Source organism: Homo sapiens, chromosome 14 (assembly GCF_000001405.40).
Source record: "Homo sapiens chromosome 14, GRCh38.p14 Primary Assembly".
Lineage (NCBI taxonomy): Eukaryota > Metazoa > Chordata > Mammalia > Primates > Hominidae > Homo > Homo sapiens.
This window is the reverse complement of record NC_000014.9, coordinates 34,949,449-34,972,871: the sequence shown is the minus strand read 5'-3', so window position 1 is coordinate 34,972,871 and position 23,423 is coordinate 34,949,449. Positions and strand designations below refer to the sequence as shown.

At 42.9% G+C, this 23,423-nt stretch overlaps 1 long non-coding RNA gene across 1 annotated transcript in view; it reads left to right on the top strand.

Moving 5' to 3' along the window:
* The window catches only part of SRP54-AS1 (SRP54 antisense RNA 1), a 66,087-nt gene that overhangs the window by 9,695 nt on the left and 32,969 nt on the right, over positions 1-23,423 (top strand). The window contains exon 2 of the long non-coding RNA NR_151701.1: positions 3,565-3,702. This is a non-coding gene — a long non-coding RNA (SRP54 antisense RNA 1). The remainder of the gene's footprint in view (positions 1-3,564; positions 3,703-23,423) is intronic.

Below are 23,423 nucleotides of genomic sequence, written 5' to 3'. Positions count from 1 at the left end.
TGACATAGCGTAAATGCTTAGGATATGCAGTGGGTTCTCCATGTCCACAGATTGTACATTTGTACATTGATCCAGCAGAGAATTGAAAGTATTTCAAAAATAATAATATACTATTTTTAGAAATAGAGCATAACAACTTTTTTTTGAGATGGAGTTTTGCTCTTGTCGCCCAGGCTGGAGTGCAGTGGCACAAATCTCGGCTCACTGCAACCTCTGCCTCCCGGGTTCTAGCGATTCTCCTGCCTCAGCTTCCCAAGTAGCTGGGACTACAGGTGCCTGCCACCACACCTGGCTAGTTTTTGTATTTTTTTAGTAGAGACGGAGTTTCACCATGTTGGCCAGGCTGGTCTCGAGCTCCTAATCTCGGGTGATCCACCCGCCTCGGCCTCCCAAAGTCCTAGGATTACAGGCATGAGCCACTGTACCTGGCTGCATGTCTGCTACTCTTGAATTGACATCGCTACTTATGTATCTAAAATGGCAGGGTATAGATGGTGCCACTAGTCTCTCATCAGGATACTTTCCATTAAGGTTAGTGGAACTGCGCAACCATTCATAGCTCAGATTCATCAGTCACAAAAGAACCCCAGAAGATGATGGTGTTCATAAAAAACAATTTTCTTTAGTATTTTGGTTCTGCTTTAATCTTAATCCCTAGGGTAATAGATGAGATACTCAAGTTCAGAGAGGTGTGGAAGTCATTTGACAGAGCAGTCGGGCCCGAGTGGTTTCCTTATGCCAAGGCAGCACGTCATCCTTTTTCCTCAAAAATAACAGCAACAACATTCCTGCACCTTGCCTCTGCAGCATTATATCGTACTGCAGAAACCAGCTCAACTATGCAAAACTACCACCAGGACTGGCCGACACCAGGAGGGATTCCAGAGACCACACTGCAGGGAGCATACAGAAAGAAAATTAAGAGATCAGGTCAGTTAGCATTCACTGATGAGCAATGGGAAAGTCTCAGCTTATGGTGTCACACCAGAATGCACCTGATGTGCATTCTGATAATGCAACACTTAGATCAAAAAGCAAGAGGAGAAGTGAATGTCTGACATCATTGACTGAGGATAGTTCATGAAGAGACAAATAAAAGTAAATATGTTAAATTTACTGTGAGTGCTTCTTAAAGTTTCTCCTATTCTTCCTAACCCCACAGTCTCTTTAGCCTAATCAGCCCTAAATTTGGTTTTAAACAGTTTTTCATGTAGTGCTTCAGCCATGTCCCCAATTCTTTTGAGTCCTCAACCCTTTGACTCATCAGTACTATTCATTCAACAAATATTTTTTGAGAGTATCCTGTTTGCCAGGCTCTGGAAAAACAATCAAGGCCCAACAAGAGCCAATGATGTGATCCTAACTACATCCATGTCCTTGTTTTTTCCTCTGTTCCATTTCCCTCACTTGTATTAATGATGAAGCTCACCTTTTTGTTTCTTTCTTCTACATTTGCCCCTTACACTTTTACTTATTCTTCTATTCCTTTATTTTTAGAATTAGTTCTCATTTTTGGCCGGGCACGGTGGCTCACGCCTGTAATCCCAGCACTTTAGGGGGCCGAGGTGGGTGGATCACGACGTCAGGAGATTGAGACCATCCTGGCTAACACAGTGAAACCCTGTCTCTACAAAAAAACAAAAAAAAATTAGTTGGGCATGGTGGCAGGTGCCTTAGTCCCAGCTACTCGGGAGGCTGAGGCAGGAGAATGGCTTGAACCCCAGAGGCGGAGCTTTCAGTGAGCCAAGATCACGCCACTGCACTCCAGCCTGGGTAACAGAGTGAGACTCCGTCTCAAAAGAAAAAAAAAGAATTAGGTCTCATTTTTCTTCTCCAGAACTCTTTCAAGTTCCTTCAAATCCTAACCCTTATGGGAAACCTATGTTATGAATATTGTTTTGTAAAGCAAGGCTAATAATCTCTTCTTGGCCAGGTGTGGTGGCTCATACCTATATTCTCAGCCCTTTGGGAGGCTGAGGTGAGAGGATCATTTGAGCCTAGGAGTTCAAGACCAGCCTGGACAGCATAGCAAGACCCCATCTCTATTAAAAAAAAATTTCCACCCACTAACCTGAAAACAGCAATTCTCCATGTGGTTTTCAGACTATAAATAACTGCATAAAGGAGCTAAATTCTCTTTTGTTTTTGTTTTGTTTTTTTGAGACAGAGTCTTGCTCTTGTTGCCCATGCAGGAGTGCAATGGTGCGATCTCAGCTCACCGCAACCTCCGCCTCCCAGGTTCAAGTGATTCTTCTGCCTCAGCCTCCCATGTAGCTGGGATTACAGGTGCCCACCACCATGCCTGGCTAATTTTTGTATTTTTAGTAGAGATGGGGTTTCACTATGTTGGTCAGGCTGGTCTCAAAACTCCTGGCCTAGTGATCCACTCACCTCTGCCTCCCAAAGTACTGGGATTACAGGCGTGAGCCACCGCGCCCAGCCATCTGCACATTCTTAATAGTGCTATGCATATAATCAGTTTTGTGAAATCCACGATGTATACAATGAGAAAAGTAATCCTTGTATGTTAATAATTGACCCACAAACTTCAACTTTTTGTCTTTTTTATTTATTTATTTATTATTTATTTTTTTTGAGATGGAGTCTCTCTTTGTCGCCCAGGCTGGAGTGCAGTGGCACAATCTTGGCTCACTGCAAGCTCTGCCTCCCGAGTTCACACCATTCTCCTACCTCAGCCTCCCAAGTGGCTGGGACTACAGGCGCCCGCCACCACGCCTGGCTAATTTTTTTTTTTTGTATTTTTAGTAGAGACAGGGTTTCACCGTGTTAGCCAGGATGGTCTCGATGTCCTGACCTCGTGATCCACCCGCCTGGGCCTCCCAAAGTGCTGGGATTATAGGCATGAGCCACTGCGCCTGGCCCAACTTTTTATCTTAAATTTCCTTCTGATCCTTATATATCCATACCTGATTTTTATGTACCAACCAAGGTTTCTTTGTTTAAATGTAGACACATTTTTAGGTATTCATGGTTTATTATAGTTAAGGTAAAAGGAATCAAGTATTTGTTTCTTTGTAACCACTTGCTAGTATATCCTATACCACTAATATTAACAAATGACTACTATTTATAAGCATGAAGTTTTAATAGCATTTTATTATTTGAAAACTGCACTCTGGGAAAAGATTACTTGTTAAATGTTTTAATGGTAAGTCACTGACATGTAGGACTCAGAAGACCTGGTATTAGTTTAAATTTTTTCCCCTATTATTAACTAATATAATTTCTTTGAAGAAATGTTTCTGGTAAGTATTTGTAAAATATGCTACTTAGGATAAACAAAATGATCTATGAGATTCCTTTCAACTAGAGTTTTATGTATTTCTCATGGCTTGTTTTGCATCATTCCAGGTCAAAAAGTTGCTAGGGTCTCAGAAATAAAACGAAAGTAGAGCAGTTACTTGCATGAGCAAAACATGTCTTACTGTGCCTTTTTGTTGCTCTCAGAATGTTAGCATATAGACCACTGACATTTTGCTTTATTTAGCAATAAAAAGATACTTCTTTGTACTTTGTTTCTTTTGATGTTTTTCTCTCCACCAGATGCAGCAGCAGCCGGAACCCACAGTTCACCTTGGTGCATTCCTTTATGATGAAGACTTATTGATTCATTATATGAGAAAGGAAAAATGAGCAGAAACTACTGTATGATGTGCAGCTCACACCAGACAGCAACTTTAGGTAGGCACTTAGGTATGCAAATCTGATGACTTTATGTGTATTTTTTCTTACATGTCATGAGTATGCAAAGTTTGGACTAAGCTATTCAATGTTTTCTGAAAGCAAAAGGCCAACCTGTGGCATGGTTATTACCAAATACTGCAGTTAGGGAGAGTAAACGAATATTATCTCAGGAGAATAGGTCACTTAATGTCCCCCAGGATATATTTAGAAACTTTGTTTTGTTTTGTTTTGTTTTTTGAAACGGAGTCTTGCTTTATCGCCCAGGCTGGAGTGCAGTGGCACGATCTCAGCTCACTGCAGCCTCTGTCTCCTGGGTTCAAGCAATTGTGCCTCAGCCTCCCAAGTAGCTGGGATTACAGGCACCCGCCACCACACCTAGCTAATTTTTTTGTATTTTTGGTTGAGACGGGGTTTCACCATGTTGGCCAGGCTGGTCTCGAACTCCTGACCTCAAGTGATCCGCCTGCCTCAGCATCCCAAAGTGCTGGGATTACAGGCATGAGCTACCATGCCCAGCTTAGAAACTGTTTTTCACAGTTTTTTTTCCCTAGTCAAGTAAGGCAGTGAGATGTTTTTCACATCTAGAAACTATGTAATCAGAGGCAACTCTGCAGGTTCAGAAACTAAACAGAGGTGACAATACAAAGGAACTGACTCATACTCTACATATTGAACAGAGATTGGTAAACTATACACTGATTGATTTACAATGAGAACTATAATTTCCAAGGAGGCTGAAATGTTCTCCCCATAAAAACATCTACTTGAGCTGGGCATGGTGGTGTGTACCTGTAGTCCCAGCTACTTGGGAGGCTGAGGTGGAAGGATTGCTTAAAACCAGGAGTTCAGGGCTGCAGTGCAGTATGATTGGGCCTGTGTATAGCCACTGCACTCCAGCCTGGACAACAGGAGACCCAGTCACTTAAAAGAAAAACATCTGGCTGGGCACAGTGGCTCAGGCCTGTAATCCCAGCACTTGGGAGGCCGAGATGGGTGGATCTCTTCAGCCCAGGAGCTCGAGACCAGCCTGACCAACATGGCAAAACCCCGTCTGTACTAAAAATACAGAAAATAGCAGGGTGTGGTGGCGCACACCTGTAATCCCAGCTACTCATGAGGCTGAGGCATGAGAATCGCTTGAACCCAGGAGGTGGAGGGTGCAGTGAGCTGAGATCGCACCACTGCACTCCAGCCTGGGTGACAGAGCAAGACTGTCTAAAAAAAAAAAAATCTCCTTAAGAAATCAGATAGTGATGAGATATTATTGGGCAGGCATGGACGCAGAAGACAGAGATAGATAATCTTGAGAAATCGTTCATTCAGGCTATAATTTGACCCAGTGAAGCATCCCAATCCATATTAGAGAACTTCTCCAGTGACAGAAAGCCTTCTGTCTTTGTTCAGGCTGGGTAGATTTGTCTAGTCATGTTGCTTTAGACATGTATTTCCCTGCTCACTTACATTTAGGATTATTACATAGAGTGGGCTACCCCTCTGGGTAAATAATCTTGTGGCTTATATTACTGATCTTAGATGATATCATTATCAAAGATTAAATACCAAATTTGGAATATGTTGCTAAACAGATATATTGTATCTGTATTATAATTTGAGATTAAACTTCTCTGATTTATTAGTTTAAGATCCTATTTCTCAGGCCGGGCGCGGTGGCTCAAGCCTGTAATCCCAGCACTTTGGGAGGCCGAGGCGGGTGGATCACGAGGTCAGGAGATCGAGACCATCCTGGCTAACACGGTGAAACCCCGTCTCTACTAAAAATATAAAAAATTAGCTGGGCATGGTGGTGGGTGCCTGTAGTCCCAGCTGCTCGGGAGGCTGAGGCAGGAGAGTGGCATGAACCCGGGAGGCGGAGGTTGCAGTGAGCCAAGATCACACCACTGCACTGCAGCCTGGGCGACACAGCAAGACTCCGTCTCAAAAAAAAAAAAGATCCTATTTCTCAATAATACTTCTAGTTTCCATTTGAGGTAGTTAAAATTCACAGAACGAAAAGGATTTGGACAATAATAGAAGAAACACTAAAAAGTTATTAATAACTTTGGGAGGCTGAGGTAGGTGGATCACCTGAGGTCAGTAGTTTGAGACCAGCCTGGCCAAAATGGCAAGACCCCATCTCTAATAAAAATACAAAAATTAGCCGGGTGTGGTGTGGCACACGCCTGTAGTCCCAGCTACATGGGAGGCTAAGGTGGGAAGATTGCTTGAACGTGGGAGGCGGAGGTTGCAGTGAGCCAAGATCTTGCCACTGGCGCTCCATTCTGGGCAACAAAGTGAGATAACAAAGTGAGACATCTCAGAAAAAAAGTTAATAACTGTTAACATCCTGTTAAAAATATTTATAGAAGAGCTATGTCTGACAGATAAAAATTCGAAGATTAGGATGTGTCTTCCCGTAAAAATCTTATTTTTAATTACTGGGTAAACAGGCCAGCCTCCCCATTGTAGAGAACTATAATGAATCTGAAACAGTTATCACCATAAGGGACTTTCCCCCTCTCTGTCACAAGGGGCATGTCTAGCTACAAGACTGTAGTGGTGACTCTGTAACCCAAAGAAGCACTAGTGTGGCAAAGAGGATAGAGAAGATGAGGATCCTAGGGAGATAACGACTACACTGCTTACAGCCCAACCCCCAAGAATGACTCCAGAGGCCTAGTTACACCTTTTATTCTCTTCTAAGGGATAGGCCTACCTGCTTCTGTTTTACTTTTCACCCTCTGTTACTTAGGACCAAGGTTTCTCCCCTTCCTGATCATTATTACATAGAACATAAGATAAGTCTTTGGGTTACCTACATATCAGAAGAAAACCAGACTCAGGCTATCTCAGATATTTCATGACAGAAACTAGGATGAGAAGATAGATTACCAGGCTAGAAATGGTGGCAGTTAAACTAAGTGGGATAAAAGCAATTTATGGGTGTATGTGAATCTTTCACACCACTCCTCTCTTGCCCTCCAGAATCTATTCCAGGTTGATGAGGGCTGCCACTCTGTATAGCTCCAGAGCCAGTCATACATTTCGTAGTCTACAGTCTATGCAGCAATACATAGTACTTCTGTGGTTAGTTCTGGTGTAAGGTGAGAAAGCCGGATGGTATGGAAGTTATGACGCTGTCCCAGGCACAACAGGCCATAGGAAGTAGAGAAAGGAAAAAAACCCAGGACTCTAAAGCAGCAGCAAGAAGGAAATGAGGGGCACAGGAATAGAGACGGTCTTCTAAGTAGTTGTTCCCTAAAGGCCTCTTAAATGTCAGACTTAATATTTGTTCTAAGTCAGAGTGGATGAGTAAAAAATTATCACACGAATTTTTTCCAAATAACTTCTGGATGATTTTCATTGATTAAGGAACAAAAACATGAAATATACTTTACAGATGAAATATAGATGAAAGAATTAGAAGTCCAGAATGCAATTACTTATACCCAAGCAAAATTTGATGTTCACTCTTCTAATTCTCTGGGATTTATTTCTCATTACTTCTCTCTCATGGAAATGAAATTCATTTATCATCATGTACTCTCTGACATATCAGGAAAGGTGTTGGTTGACATCAGCTCCAGGCCTAGCATAGTCCTTTATGGGGTACTGTCCAGCTTGCAGACATCAACATTTGGAAAGCATTTTCTTCTGCTAGCAACAGCTTTGCCTGTCACCATCCAAGGTGACAGTGTGGCTTTATTTATTAAAGTAAAAGAATAATAAGTTATGACATAGGTAGACACTTATATTCTAGTTTATGATGACAATGGAATTTGGGATTTCAAAGACCACGTGTCTGATTTCCTTTACTACTTTGTCTCTGCAATGCAAATTAAGGAATATCAACAAAACAGAAGTGTATGACTCTTTCTTGTAACACTTTGCTATTTTATCAGTCACTACTGCCTTCTAACCCCTTTTTTTGGTACTGTACCGAAATAGTATGTTGAACTTTGATAAGAGCTTTTATAAAGCTGACAAATTTACTTGACCTAGGATATTACTGTATGGCCATAAGCAAACCACTTAACACCTCTAGGCCTCTAGTTCCTCATTTTAAATGAGCAAACTAAATGCTATCCAAGGACACATCTTGCTCCAGTTTTTTGTGATCCTAAGTTTGAATGCTTGTTTCTAAAACATCACTTCAGTGTGGGTTTTTTAAAATTAAATCATGAGTGTTTATTTCTTATGATCTTAAATGGTTTTACCAAAATCTGAAATAGGATTTCTGGTTGTCATTAGTAGATTTATTAAAACATGTGGCCGACTGGGCATGGTGGCTCATGCCTGTAATCCCAGCACTTTGGGAGGCCAAGGCTGGAGGATCACTTGAGCCCAGGAATTCGAGACCAACCTGGGCAACATGGTGAAACTCGGTCTCTCCAAAACAATACAAAAATTAGCCAGGCATGGTGGTGTGCACTCCTCTTCCCAGCTATTTGGGAGGCTGAGTTCAGAGGATCACCTGAGCCTAGGGAAGATGAGAGTGCAGTGAGCTGTGATTATGCTACTGCATTCCAGCCTAGGCAGCAGAGTGACACCCTGTCTCAAAAAATAAAGGAAACCCATCTTTAAAAATATAACTATTTTAGATAATGGGAATTAATAAACTATAATCAAGGCTCTGATCAGTAAGAGCCTTTTTCAGTTCAGGAAGTTGTAAGTTTTACATAAACTACAAGATATTACTTTCATTTTATTTTTACTTTATCAAATTATTTTTATTTATATGTTTTGAGACAGAGTCTCACTCCGTTGCCCAGGCTGGAGTTCAGTGGCGTGATTTTGGCTCACTGAAACCACTGCATCCCGGATTCAAGCAATTCTCTTGCCTCAGCCTCCCGAGTAGTGGAGACTGCAGGTGCCCACCACCACGCCTGGCTAATTTTTTGAATTTTTAATAGAGTCGGGGTTTCGCCACCTTTGCCAGGCTGGTCTGGAATTCCTGACCTCAGGTGATCCACCTGCCTTGGCCTCCCAAAGTGCTGGGATTACAGGTGTGAGCCACCATGCCTGGCCAAACTATATTTTTTAAAGCTTGATTTTTAAAATTTCAAGTAGAAATAAATCCATGGGTAAGAGTTCATTCATTTGCATCATAGCGTATCTTCCTATTTTAGGGTTATCTTTCCAGTTCAGCAGTGCAACTCTATGGAGTAGAATTGAAAGGAGACTTTTCGCCAATTGCAGGAAATGGTCATAAAAAAATACCTGCTCACTGACAGAATAAAGGTACCTTTTAACTTAGTCAAATCTCTTTTGCATTGTTTTCCAATCTGTTCTTGGTTGCCATTGTATAGAAACAGATTGAATTCTCTTAAATATTTTAAAACATTAATAGAGATGAATTGTTGTAATTATATCCTATTCACATATTTCTCTCTTCCCTGATTTTATTGGAAAGTAAAATTTTTTGAATTGTCTTCCTACCAGATACAGTTTTGGTAGCAGCATTTTTGAATCTCTAGAGGTTGGTTAGAAGTGTATTTAATTAATCTGTGAATGTCAAAAATACATAAAGGCCTAAGTAATGCTCACAATACCTCTTTTTCAGCAGGTATCGTGTATGCCACAGAATAGCAGTTCATGGGGGAATGATGCCATAGGTTAGGCTACAACAGAGGTTTTCTATTTTTCCCGTACTTAAGAAGAAAAATAACAAAAAAGGAGAAAGGAATTTTTTTGGTTAATGCAGTAATCTTTATCATTTCACTAATAGTTCTGTACTTCTGATGGCAATGCAGAGAAATACCGAGTATCTCTGATGTTAAGTGCAATCTAATGTGGAAAGATGTACCTCAGTAAGATTAAGGATGTAGTCTTCCACCACCCCGCCCCCTTTTTTTTTTTTTTTTTGAGATAGAGTTTCGCTCTGTCGCCCAGGCTGGAGTGCAGTGGCCCAATCTTGGCTCACTGCAACCTCCACCTCCTCGGTTCAAGTGATTCTCCTGCCTCAGCCTCCCGAGTAGCTGGAACTACAGGAGCCCACCACCATGCCCGGCTAGTTTTTTGTATTTTTAGTAGAGACGGAGTTTCACTGTGTTAGCTAGGATGGCCTCGATCTCCTGACCTCGTGATCCGCCCGCCTCGGCCTCCCAAAGTGCTGGGATTACAGGCGTGAGCCACCGCACCCGGCCTCCCCTTTTTTACAGAAGAAAATTATTTCATTCCCTCCTCTTTCCCACCTCTCTCTCTCCCTGACTTGCTCATATTAGAGATAGAGGCAAATGATCAGAGTAAATTCGTTGTCCAATAGTAAGTTCATGGTATTTTCTCACTATCCCATATGTAGTGAACAATAATACCTTGCTCTTGCACAAGAATCACATAACTAATAGAATCAATATAATTGAAAATTGATATTTAAAAATTATGAACTCTTAAAAATCATGGTTTATAAATGGATAACCAAGTAATTTTTGTTGGTTTCTTTTTAAAGAAGATAATAAAGGTGTACAAAATACATATTTACTTACTTTTTTTTTTTTTTTTTGAGATGGAGTGTCACTCTGTCACCCTGACTAGAGTGCAGTGGCACGATCTCGGCTCACTGAAACCTCCACCTTCCAGGTTCAAGCGATTCTTCTGCCTCAGCCTGCTGAGCAGCTGGGACTACAGGCAAGCACCGCCACGCCCAGATCTTTTTTGTGTTTTTAGTATAGACAGGGTTTCACCATATTGGCCAGGCTGATCTCGAACTCCTGACCTCGTGATCCGCCCACCTTGGCCTCCCAAAGTTCTGGGATTACAGGCGTGAGCCACTGCCCCCAGCCTTACTTACATTTTTAAAGATGTTTTTTACCCCTTTTCAAAGGAAAATATGCAGACACACCCATCCACATACTTTCCTGGCTTGTAGCTTCTGTGGCCATCAGCAACCCGATAAAAACTTTTTGGCCAGGTGCAATGCCTCATGCCTATAATTCCAGCACCTTAGCAGGCCAAGGTGGGAGGATTGCTTGAGGCCAGGAGTTCAATACCAGCCTGAGAAACTATCTCTCCCCCACAAAAAAAAAAAAAAAAAAAAAAATTAGCCAAGTATGGTGGCACACACCAGTAAGTCCCGGCTACCTGGGAGGCTGAGGCAGGACTCCTTTAGCCCAGCAGTTTGAGGCTTCATTGAGCTACAGTCATGCCACTGCAGCCCAGCCTGGATAACAGCTAGACTTTGTCTTTTAAAAAAATAAAAACTCTGAGGCTGGCCTGGTGGCTTACACCTGTAATTCCAGCACTTTGGGAGACCAAGGCGGGCAGATCACCTGATGTCAGGAGTTTGAGACCAGCCTGGCCAATGTGGCAAAACCCCGTCTCTACTAAAAATACAAAAATTAGTCAGGTGTGGTGGCGCCTGCCCTGTAATCCCAGCTACTTGGGAGACAGAAGCAGGAGAATTGCTTGAACCCGAGGAGCGGAGGTTGCAGTGAGCTGAGATCATGCCACTGCACTCCAGCCTGAGCAACACAGCAAGACTCTGTCTCAAATAAATAAATAGATAAAACTTTTTTTATACCTTTTTTTTTTTTTTTTGAGACAGGGTCCCTCCCTGGGCTCAGACGATCCTCCCACCTTAGCCTCCCAAGTAGCTGGGACTACGGGTGTGCTCCACCAACCTGGCTAATTTTTGTGTTTTTTTTGGTAGAAACAGGGTTTCACCACATTGCCCAGGATGGTCTTGAAATCCTGAGCTCAAGCGATCTGCCCACCTTAGCCTCCCAAAGTGCTAGGATTACAGGCCTCAGTCACTGCACCTGGTTTTTTGGTTTTTTTGTTTTGTTTTTTTTTTTTTGAGACGGAGTCTCACTCTGTCGCCCAGGCTGGAGTGCAGTGGTGTGATCTCAGCTCACTGCAAGCTCTGCCTCCTGGGTTCACACCATTCTTCTGCCTCAGCCTCCCGAGCAGGTGGGACTACAAGTACCCACCACCATGCCTGGCTAATTTTTTGTATTTTTAGTAGAGACGGGTTTCACCATATTAGCCAGGATGGTCTCAATCTCCTGACCTCGTAATCCGCCCGCCTCGGCCTCCCAAAGTGCTGGGATTACAGGTGTGAGCCACCGCGCCCAGCCACACCTGGTATTTTTATACCACCTTATGACTTTTAGAAACCTTAACAGTTTCCTTCCTTAAAGCTATAAACAAATGGATTTGAGGTATCTTAAAATTAACAGAAAGGGATTCTAGGATTGTTTTTTATTGTATCTGTTGAAATCCAACTAGCCTCCAAGGTTCAATTTTTCCTTTTTCATTTGTTTTTGTTGTTGTTTCTTTCTTTCTTTTTTTTTTTTTTTTTTTTTTTTGAGACAGAGTCTTGCTCTGTCACCCAGGCTGGAGTGCGGTGGCATGATCTCAGCTTACTCCAACCTCCTCTTCCCAGGTTCAAGCAATTCTCCTGCCTCAGCCTCCCAAGTAGCTGGTATTACAGGCACATGCCACCAAGCCTGGCTAAGTTTTGTATTTTTCGTAGTGACTGGGTTTCACCATGTTGGCCAGGCTGGCCTCAAACTCCTGACCTCAAATGATCCACCCACCTTGGCCTCCCAAAGTGTTGGGATTACGGGCGTGAGCCACTGCGCCCGGCCTGTTTCATCTTTTGTACAGGGCTTTTCTCTGAATCCTTGGTTTTCTGCTCATGCTTAAGAATGAGTAACAAAAAAGCTGATTGAAGTTCTGAGTGGGGATTGTTAACTGTGGACTTCACTATTGAGTGATCTTGCTGGGTAGTTCATTAGTTGGGAAATATCTAGTGAAATATCTTAAGATCTTTCCTTTTGGGCTGATCTGATTGCCTAGAAAAAACCTTTTCAATCTTCTAGCTGAATAACAAGCTGCATACTGGGAACAGAGTGGTAGAGCAAAAGGGTTGAAGAGGCAGGGTTCTCAGCATTCTGCATGCATGTTTCCTTAATTCCTCAGTTTTCAGTACGTTACCCTTTCTTTCAGCGAGGCCTGGAATCCCCTGGTTGTCTGGTTCAACCATTTCCAGAGAATAAACCTCTATTCATTTGCTGGAGTAGGAGAAAGGGAAATAGGGATCTGACTGCGTCTTAATCTGACTTTCAGCCACATTCCCTTATTTTTAGCATTTCCCCCTACTTCACCTGGTACCACCAATTATTAGCCTTTTGGAGATTCTGTAGCATAAGTCAGATTTGAGTCTTAGCTCTCAATACTTCTATCTTTGAAATCAATTTTCTCTGGTCTCCTAAATTCCTTATCACTTCTCCTTTTGTTCTAACAACAAATTTTTATATCTGTTATTTCCTTTCCCATTCTACCCATCCTTGAAGGTTTACACCTTCTTTTAAAAACCCCTATTCTGTCATTATAATGGGGTTTCAGTAATGTACATACATGTCTCTTATCCACTGTCTTTACAGGCAAGGCCTATGGATTGAAATTCTTTTTCCCTTTTCTTCAGGCTAGAGGTAAACTTTCCCTCATTCATATCCCTGGTGTTGGCTTATTCCTTTGATGGCAGCTGTTGTATGAACTTACTAACATAGCTTTTCTAATCCCCTTACTAGATAACATATTTGAGAGTAAATATTGTGTCTCATTCATCATAGTGTATATCTCTGCATGGTATCTTGTGCATAGGAGGTGCCTATTAAATATCGGTTAAATTGATTTGAGCTACCTTGTGGCCTCTGCATTGTTAGCATTCCAGAGTTCGCCCAGAGCTATTCCTTTATGGTTTTCCTGGGACCTTAAGAGCACCTCTGTGGGCTGCCATAATTAATTGATCCACCTGATTCTCTTTTACCCTATCTGTATAGTTGTGGGATGTGGGGGAAAAGAGTGAACAGAAATGGAAAAGAAAAGGGGGGAATTGTTTGAGAGCTGTGATAGATCAGGAGGTTAATTTACATATTTCATGTATTTCATACATGTTTCAAAAGTTTGAAATGATTGACTTTTTCTTTATATTGAGTAATATGTTTACAGGCTCCAGGCCAACTTTAAATTTATTATTTTAGTATTCTTTTTTTTTTTTTTTTTTGAGACGGAGTCTCGCTCTGTTGCCCAGGCTGGAGTGCAGTGGTGTGATCTCAGCTCACTACAACCTCCACCTCCCGGGTTCAAGCAATTCTCCTGCCTCAGCCTCCTGAGTAGCTTGGACTACAGGTGCGTGCCATTACGCCCGGCTAATTTTTTTTATTTTTAGTAGAGGCAGGGTTTCACCAAGTTAGCCACACTGGTCTCGATCTCCTGACCTCAGGCAATCCGCCCGCCTTGGCCTCCCAAAGTGCTGGAATTACAGGCGTGAGCCACTGCACCAGGCCCATATTTTAGTATTCCTAACACTGAGAAAAAAGAAGGAAAATATTTAAAAATCGGACCACAGGCCAGGCATGGTAGCTCATGCCTGTAATCCCAGCACTTTGGGAGGCTGAGATGGGCTGATCACCTGAGGTTAGGAGTTCGAGACCAGCTTGGCCAACATGGTGAAACCCTGTCTCTACTAAAAAGCTCCAAAAATTAGCCAGGCGTGGTGGTGTGTGCCTGTAGTTCCAGCTACTCGAGAGGCTGAGGCAGGAGAATCGCTTGATCCCAGGAGGCGAAGGTTGCAGTGAGCCTAGATTGCGCCGTTGCACTCCAGCCTGAGTGACAGAGCAAGACTCTTTCTCAAAAAAAAAAAAACAGACCCCAAAACATTTTGAATATTATATATTTGTAAGACCGTGTGCTTATTTGAAAAGAAATCATATGATACAAAGTAAACTTTTATTTTTAAAATAAAAGTTTGTTTTGCTCTTGAGCAAATACGTTTTTTCTTACTATCTTTCCTGTTGTCTGTAAGATTTATAGATTGTAGTCTAAATTAATTTGTTTAGGTATATAGTATTGGGAGGGGTATTTAACTTCTAAGTTCAGGGATATGTGTGTAAGTTTGTTATATAGATAAAGTTGTGACATGGGGGTTTGCTGTACAGATTATTTTGTCACCCAGGTGGTAAGTGTGGTACCCTTTAGTTATTTTTTCTGATCGTCTCCCTCCTCGCAACCTCTATTCTCCAATAGGCCTCAGTATCTGTTGTTCCTCTTTATGTGTCCATGTGTTCTTATCATTTAGCTCCCACTTGTAAGTGAGAACATGTGGTATTTGGTTTTCTGTTCCTGTGTTAGTTTGTTAAGGATAATGGCCTCCAGGTCCGTCTGTGTTCCTGCAAAGGACATGATCTTGTTCTTTTCTATGGCTGCATAGTATTCCTTGGTATATATGTACCGCATTTTCTTTATCCACTCTACCATTGATGGACATTTAGGTTGATTCCATGTCTTTGCTATTGTGAATAGTGTTGCATTGAACATACATGTGCATGTGTCTTTTTAGGCTGTAAATGCTGTTTCCCCCATGGTCCAACAGCGACCCTGCCCAGTTTAACTCCCAATTCAGGGACTTAGGCCCGTGAAACCTCCTAACCACCCACAATCCTAGGTAAGGCCAACTCTGTGACCCTGGTCAGCAAAGAACAGTTAAAAAAATAAAACCTGGCTGGGCGCAATGGTTCACGCCTGTAATCCCAACACTTTGGGAGGCTGAGGCAGGCAGATCACATGAGGTCAGAAGTTCAAGACCATCCTAGCTAACACAGGCGCGGTGGCTCATGCTTGTAATCCCAGCACTTTGGGAGGCCGAGGCAGGCGGATCACCTGAGGTCGGGAGTTCGAGACCAGCCTGACCAACATGGAGAAACCCCATCTCTGCTAAAAATACAAAAATTAGCCGGGCATGGTGGCACATGCCTGTAATCCCAGCTACTCGGGAGGCTGAGGCAGGAGAATCACTTGAACCTAGGAGGCGGAGGTTGCAGTGAGCTGAGGTCGTGCCACTGTACTCCAGCCTGGGCAACAGAGCAAGACTCCATCTCAAAAAAAAAAAAAAAAAGACACATAGCCCTCCTGCACAAATAAGTCAAGTTATCCTGTGCCCAACTTATCACCAGACACTTGTAAGTTAGCTCACCACAACCTTGGCATTATCAGTACTGCACAAAGCCCTCTTCAGCATGCAGCAGAAACACCATTCTATAAAAACTCACAGCAAGCCCTTGTCTCTTTGCAGTCAGCATTTTTCTTGCTGACCTGCCTGTTTCACCCTTGCAGTGTATTTTCATACTCTAGTAAATCTGCCTTTTTTTTTTTTTTTTTCCCCCGAGATGGAGTTTTGCTCTTGCTTTCCAGGCTGGAGTGCAATGGCATGATCTCGGCTCACTGCAACCTTCACCTCCTGGGTTCAAGCGATTCTCCTGCCTCAGCCTCCCAAGTAGCTGGAATTACAGATGCCCGCCACCATGCCTGGCTAATTTTTTTGTATTTTTAGTAGAGATGGGCTTTCACCATGTTAGTCAGGCTGATCTGGAACTCCTGACCTTGAGTGATCCACCTGCCTCGGTCTCCCAAAGTGCTGGGATCACTGGCGTGAGCCACCAGGCCTGGCCATAAATCTGCCTCTTTTTTTTTTGAGACAGAGTTTCACTCTTGTTGCCCACGCTGAAGTGCAATGGCGCGATCTCGGCTCACTGCAACCTCTGCCTCCCAGGTTCAAGCAATTCTCCTACCTTGGCCTCCTAAGTAGCTGTGTCACAGGCATGCACCACCGCACCCAGCTAATTTTGTGGTTTTAGCAGAGATGGGGTTTCATCACGTTGACCAGGCTGGTCTTGAACTCCTGACCTTGGGTGATCACCTGCCTTAGCCTCCCAGAGTGCTGGGATTACAGGCGTGAGCCCCCATGCCCGGCTAAATCTGCCTTTCTTTGCCTACAACTGTCTAAATTCTTACCACCGGGGCCACCAGCCCAGATAGACACTGATCATCTGCAACACCCGTCTGATGGACAAGATTGCCCTGCAGAGTTCAAGTCTGAGAGTTCCCCTAGAGCTAAACTCTCCTATCAAAGTAAGTCGAGTCTAGAGGCATGGCAGTCCCTGGCTGTGCTCCATTACAGAATGCTCCTGCAGCAAACCCTCTGGTCTCCACATCAGGTGGCTTGCTGCCCTTACCACTCCTCTGAGCATCTCTCTGCCAACTCAAGTGTCCAGAGTCTCTCTCTGTTGCCCAGGCTGGAGTGCAGTGGCACGATCACAGCTCATGGCAACCTCCACCTCCCGGGTTCAAGTAATTCTTCTGCCTCAGCCTCCCAAGTAGCTGGGATTACAGGTGAACGCTACCACGCCCAGCTAATTTTTGTATTTTTAGTAGAGACGGGGTTTTACCATGTTGGCCAGGCTGGTCTCAAACTCCTGACCTCAAGTGATCTGCCCACCTCAGACTCCCAAAGTGGTAGGATTACAGGCATGAGCCACCACGCCTGGCCTCTCCTGTATTTTTTAAATAAATTGTTTTGTTTACTTTTTTGGATAGGTGATACATTTAAGTGATTTTTTGTTTGTTTGTTTTTTGTTTTTGAGATGGAGTTTCGGTCTTGTTGCCAGGCTAGAGTGCAATGGCACTATCTTGGCTCATTGCAACCCCGCCTCCGGGTTCAAGCGATTCCCCTGCGTCAGCCTCCCGAGTAGCTGGGACTACAGGCATGTGCCACCATGCCCAGCTAATTTTGTATTTTTAGTAGAGATGGGGTTTCTCCATGTTGGTTAGGCTGGTCTCAAACTCCCGACCTCAGGTGATCCACCCGCCTCGGCCTCCCAAAGTGCTGGGATTAAAGGTGTGAGCCACTGCGCCTGACCTAAGTGATTTTTAGATGAAAAGCCAAACAAGACCAGTTACCATATATTAACATTTTATAATTTTTTATAACCCATTTAAAAAATGTTTTTATGGTCCTATTTGATTCTGTGAATTAGAACATATTCTTTCATTTTATTTATGAAGAAACTGATTACCTAACAGTATAAACCTAGTTGGTGATGGAGCCAGAATTTGAACTTAGGTCCTTTGACTCTTACAACTAGTGTTATAATTATAGTGGGAAAAACTGAACTGGAAGTCAAAGAGCATAATTATGACTAAGTGAATAATTGCTTCTAAAAGAAATATTGACAGGTTCATGGGTTTTACTAGATAATAAGCATCTTATATAATACTACTCCCATAAGTGGTAGTATTATACTGCTTTTTCTCCAATTTTTAGAAGTGTTAACCTGTCATGTTGTTTCACAACATCAGTGAACCAATAGATACTTCTTATGTGCTTGTATGCTATTGTATCCTTGTTCTTGTCTGTGAATTCATTCTTCTTTAGGTGCTTCATGCAGACATCTGTACACCAGATTTACTTCTGCAAAATGCTGATGCTATGAATAATGCTTTTGAATATTAATAAGGCAAAACAGACCAGGTATGTTATTTTATCAAGCAAGAAATTTGTCATTAAAATATATCCAGCAAGATATGAAAAGAGATTAGTAGGTGAGAAATGTTTTCATGTTAAACTTTTTAAAAACTACTCCTCAAACAACTATAAGGAGTATAATCTCCTTATAGAGTATAAGGAAAAGTGCTGTTTATAAAATGAAAACAAACCTTGTCTGATTTTGGAAAACATAGTATCTAATTTTTTTTTTTTTTTTTTGGAGACAGGGTCTCGCTCTCTCACACAGGCTGGAGTGCAGTGGTGCGATCTTAGCTCACTGCAACCGCCACATCCCAGGTTCAAGCAATTCTCCCACCTCAGCCTTCCAACTAGCTGGGATTACAGGTGTGTGCCACCATGGCTGGCTAATTTTTTGTATTTTTAGTAGAGACAGTGTTCCACCATGTTGGCCAGGCTGGTCTGGAACTCCTGACCTCAAGTGATCTGCCCACCTCAGCCTCCCAAAGTGCTGGGATTACAGGCATGAGCTGTGACACCCAGCGTGTCTAATTTTTGACAGATAAAATGATTTCATGATCCAACATTTCCTTAGCAGTGAGGGATACAATAAAATACCAATTCTCAGTGGGCCTTTATACTTCTTTTTTTTTTTTTTTTGAGAGGAGTCTTGCTCTGTCGCCCAGGCAGGAGTGCAACAGTGCAATCTTGGCTCACTGCAGCCTCCGCCTGCCAGGTTCCAGCGATTCTCCTGCCTCAGCCTCCTGGGTATGGGTAACTGGGATTACAGGCACGTGCCACCATGTTCGACTAATTTTTGTATTTTTAGTAGAGATGGGATTTCACCATGTTGGCTAGCCTGGTCTCAAACTCCTAACCTCAAGTGATCCGTCTGCCTCAGTCTCCCAAAGTGCTAGGATGTGGGTGTGAGCCACTGCGCCCAGCCTATACTTGTTCTTTTCTGCCTCAGTTTTTTTTCTGTGAAATAACATCATATTGCTATCCTATTACAAACTAATGGGAATTAACTAAGGCTTATAAATGAATATTAAATGGATATAAGAATATTGGCTGGGCACAGTGGCTCACACCTAAATTCCAGCACTTTGGGACGCTGAGATGGGTGGATCACAGGGTCAGGAGTTCGAGACCAGTCTGGCCAATATGGTGAAACTCCATCTCTACTAAAAGTACAAAAATTAGCCTGGCGTGGTGGTGGGTGCCTGTAGTCCCAGGTACTCAGAAGGCTGAGGCAGGAGAATCGCTTGAACCCAGGAGGCGGAGGTTGCAGTGAGCCAAGATGGTGCCACTGCACTCCAGCATGCATGACAGAGTGAGACTCCACCTCAGAAAAAAAAAACAAGAATATTGCCGGGTGTGGTGGCTCACTCCTGTAATCCCAGCACTTTGGGAGGCCGAGGCGGGCAGATCACGAGGTCAGGAGATTGAGACCATCCTGGCTAACACAGTGAAACCCCGTCTCTACTAAAAATGCAAAAAAAAAAAAAAAAAAATTAGCTGGGTGTGGTAGCGGGCACCTGAAGTCCCAGCTACTCAGGAGGCTGAGGCAGGAGAATGGTGTGAACCCAAGAGGCAGAGCTTGCAGTGAGCCGAGATCGCACCACTGCACTCCAGCCTGGGTGACAGAGCGAGACTCCGTCTCAAAAAAAAAAAAAAAACAAGACTATTAACCTGGAAAACAGATTAATTATTGAACTTTAAAAATGTTCTTAAGGTATTAATCATAGGTTCCTTGAGTTTATTCTGCTATTCAAATAGAAAAACTAGCAAATCTATGATCACTTTTCTGACTTCTTGCCACAATTGGTGCATCAGTACCTATAGGATCCTCTAATTAGAAAATTGCTATAGTCTGTAGTCTGAAACCCTGAAATCAGGCTTGCTGATTTCTTACTTTTTATATGGCATATATGGATTCTAGACACAAGAAAGTTCCTTTCAATATATTTGAAAGAGACACTAATATTTTTGGATTGGTGCATCATTAAGGTTTTCATCACAGAGAAATTAAAATGCAGGAGTGCAGTGGTGTGATCTTGGCTCACTGCAACCTCCGCCTCCCAGATTCAAGCAATTCTCCTGCCTTAGCCTTCCGAGTAACTGGAATTACAGGCGTGCCGCCACCATGCCTGGCTAATTTTTGTATTTTTAGTAGAGATGGGGTTTCACCATGTTGGCCAGACTGGTCTCGAACTCCTGACTTCAGGGGTCTCACTCTGTCCTGACTTCAGGTGATCCACCTGCCTCGGCCCCCAAATCAAGGAAGCACTTCATGGCTTCTCTGGCATATCTAACTTGCCAGCATCACTACTCTGTGCTTTGGGGCCATTCTTAAGTAAAATAAGCATTACTTGAAAAGCAAACAAAAAAATGAAAATTAAAAAAAAAGAAAATTTAAAAAACAAACAAAAAAGAACGAGAAATAAGCCTTACTTTACCACCAGCCCTTCGATAAGGAGACAAAGGGCTTGATCTGACAAAGAAGACGCTACTAAGTGACTAACAGGTGGGTAGTGGAGACAAGTGTGGATCCCCTGGATAAAGAGATAATTCACTTCTGGGATACAGAGCAAGATGGCGTGAAATTTCATCATGCTACTCAGAATGGCATGCAGTTTAAAACCTAGGAGTTTTTTATTTCCGGAAATTTTTGTGTGCTGTTTTCAGATTACAGTTGACCACAGGTAATTGAAACTACGGAAAGAAAAACCATGGCTAAGTGGAGATCACTTTATATGCTTAACACATTTTTTAATAAATATGAGGTAAATATTCAAACTGTAGGATACCAAGGAGACATTACTACCACCACCTTCAATATTCTGTATGTGGAGTTATTCAACTTAGTTTTTAAATGTCTATATATTTGCCTAGAGACAACTAACTGTCATTTTATTTTATTTATTTTTATTATTATTATTTGTGCGTGTGGCATGAGGTCTCCCTCTGTAGCCCATGCTGGAGTGCAGTAGCGTAATCTTGGCTCACTGTAACCTCAACCTCCCGGGTACAAGCGATTCTCCTGCCTCAGCCTCCTTAGTAGCTGGGACTACAGGTGTGCGTCACCACACCCAGCTGATTTTTTTGGATTTTTAGTAGAGATGGGGTTTCACCATGTTGGCCAGGCTGGTCTCGAACTCCTGACCAGGAGTGTGGTGGTGCATGCCTGTAGTCCCAGCTACGTGGGAGGCTGAGGTGGGAGGATCACTTAAGCCCAGGAAGCTGCACCACTGCACTCCAACCTGGGCAATAGAGTGAGACTGTGTCTCAAAAAAAAAAAAAAAAATGCTAGTTTCTTACTTTAGGAGAATTTTTAGTGTTGGAAGCTTTATACTTCCCACAATTTGTCATTCCTTAGCTTGACCTCAACCTCCCTCTCTATCCTCCAGTGTTATGCAATGCATCTCAGAAGGTTTGTGGGGAAGGAGAAAAATAGAGTTAAGATAGTTTCATATTTCATCAGCCAAATGAAAAATACACAAAACAAAACCAGTTTTTCATATAGCATTGCTGGTACTCAAACAAAAACATTAAGATTACAGTAAATGTCCTAATTATTTAGCTCTTTACCATTTTACATTGATTTGATAAAAATTAAATTGATAGAAAATAAACGTATTAGAACTCTGGAACTTTTTTCAGCCAATGATTTTTTTAAATTATTAAACTTCATACAGGGCTGGGTGCAGTGGTTCATGGCTGTAATCCCAGCACTTTGGAAAGCCAAGACAGATCACTTGGGGCCAGGAGGTCAAGACCTGTGTGGCCAACATAGTGAAACCCCATCTCTACTAAAAATACAAAAAATTAGCTGGGCATAGTGGCACGCACCTGTAGACCCAGCTACTCAGGAGGCTGAAGCGCGAGAATCGCTTGAACCCGGGAGGCAGAGGTTGCAGTGAGCTGAGATTACGCCACTGCACTCCAGCCTGGGTGACAGACTGAAACTCTGTCTCAAAAAAAAAAAAAAACCGGCCAGGCGCTGTGACTCACACCTGTAATCCCAGCACTTTGGGAGGCCGAGGCGGGCGGATCCACGGGGTCAGGAGATCGAGACCATCCTGGCTAACACGGTGAAACCCCGTCTCTACTAAAAATACAGAAAATTAGCCGGGCGTGGTGGCGGGCGCCTGTAGTCCCAGCTACTCGGGAGGCTGAGGCAGGAGAATGGCATGAACCCAGGAGGTGGAGCTTGCAGTGAGCTGAGATCACGCCACTGCACTCCAGCCTGGGCGAAAGTGCAAGACTCTGTCTCAAAAAAAAAAATAAAAACAAAAGTAAATAAAATAAAAATAATTTTGAAAATTAACTTCATACAGCTTCTTCATTTTTTTTGTCACCTTATTCCCTCACCCAACCTCCAGTGCTGTCTAGTAATGCAGATGCCCCAGATGTCCCAGCCTCGTCCCATTTTGGGATACAACAGCTTAAACATTCCAAAATTTGATGAAAACTTCATCATTAGTAGACATTATAAGGTATTTTTTGTTGATGGTGAATTCCACAGCCATTCAACTATTAATTGCACTAATTTTACAAACATGTACTAAGCGTCCACTGTTTATCCAGCACTCTGCCAGACTCTGGATACAAACATGGAACACTTGGGTCCACTCTGAAGGAACTCACAGTCTAAGGAGAGAGGCGCTTCTTTCATTTAGATACAGGGTAAGGAAAGATGTCGCTGGTAGAGGGAATGCCATATGCGGGGGCATAGAGGAGAGTATTTTAGTATGACCAGGGTCCAGGCTAGGATTACATGAGGTTGGTAAAGTAGACGAATGCCAGATCGGGAAGGACATGGTGTCGCAAACAAAGGAGATCACATTGTATTCTGAAAGGGGGAGCCATTCCAAGATGCATTAGCATACTGATACAGTCAGAATAAAAGTATAGAAACGTAATTCTGAAGACGTTATTTAGGATGGATTAAAAGGGTAAAACATGGTCGGGTGTGGTGGCTCACACCTGTAATCCCAGCACTTTGGGAGGCCAAGGAGTGCAGATCACAAGGTCAGGAGTTCTGGACCAGCCGGGCATGGTGACGGGCACCTGTAATCTCAGCTACTCAGGAGGCTTGAGGCAGAAGAATTGCTTGAACCCGGGAGGCAGAGGTTGCAGTGAGCCGAGATCGTGCCATTGCACTCCAGCCTGTGCGACAAGAGCAAGATTCTGTCTCAAAAACAAAATAAAAGGGCAAAACAACAGCAAAGAAAATAAGTCAGCCACTGGAGTGGTCCAGCAAACCCAGTAGTAATGAACTAAGGCATCAACACTGGGAATGAAGGGAGAAAGAAGGAATCATGAAGTATTTAGGAGGGCCTAGCACTTTGTGGGGAGTAGATAAATCTGGAAGTGAGTAGTTTTAATAATTACATTTACGAAGAGATTTGAGAAAATCAGTGAGGCATTACAG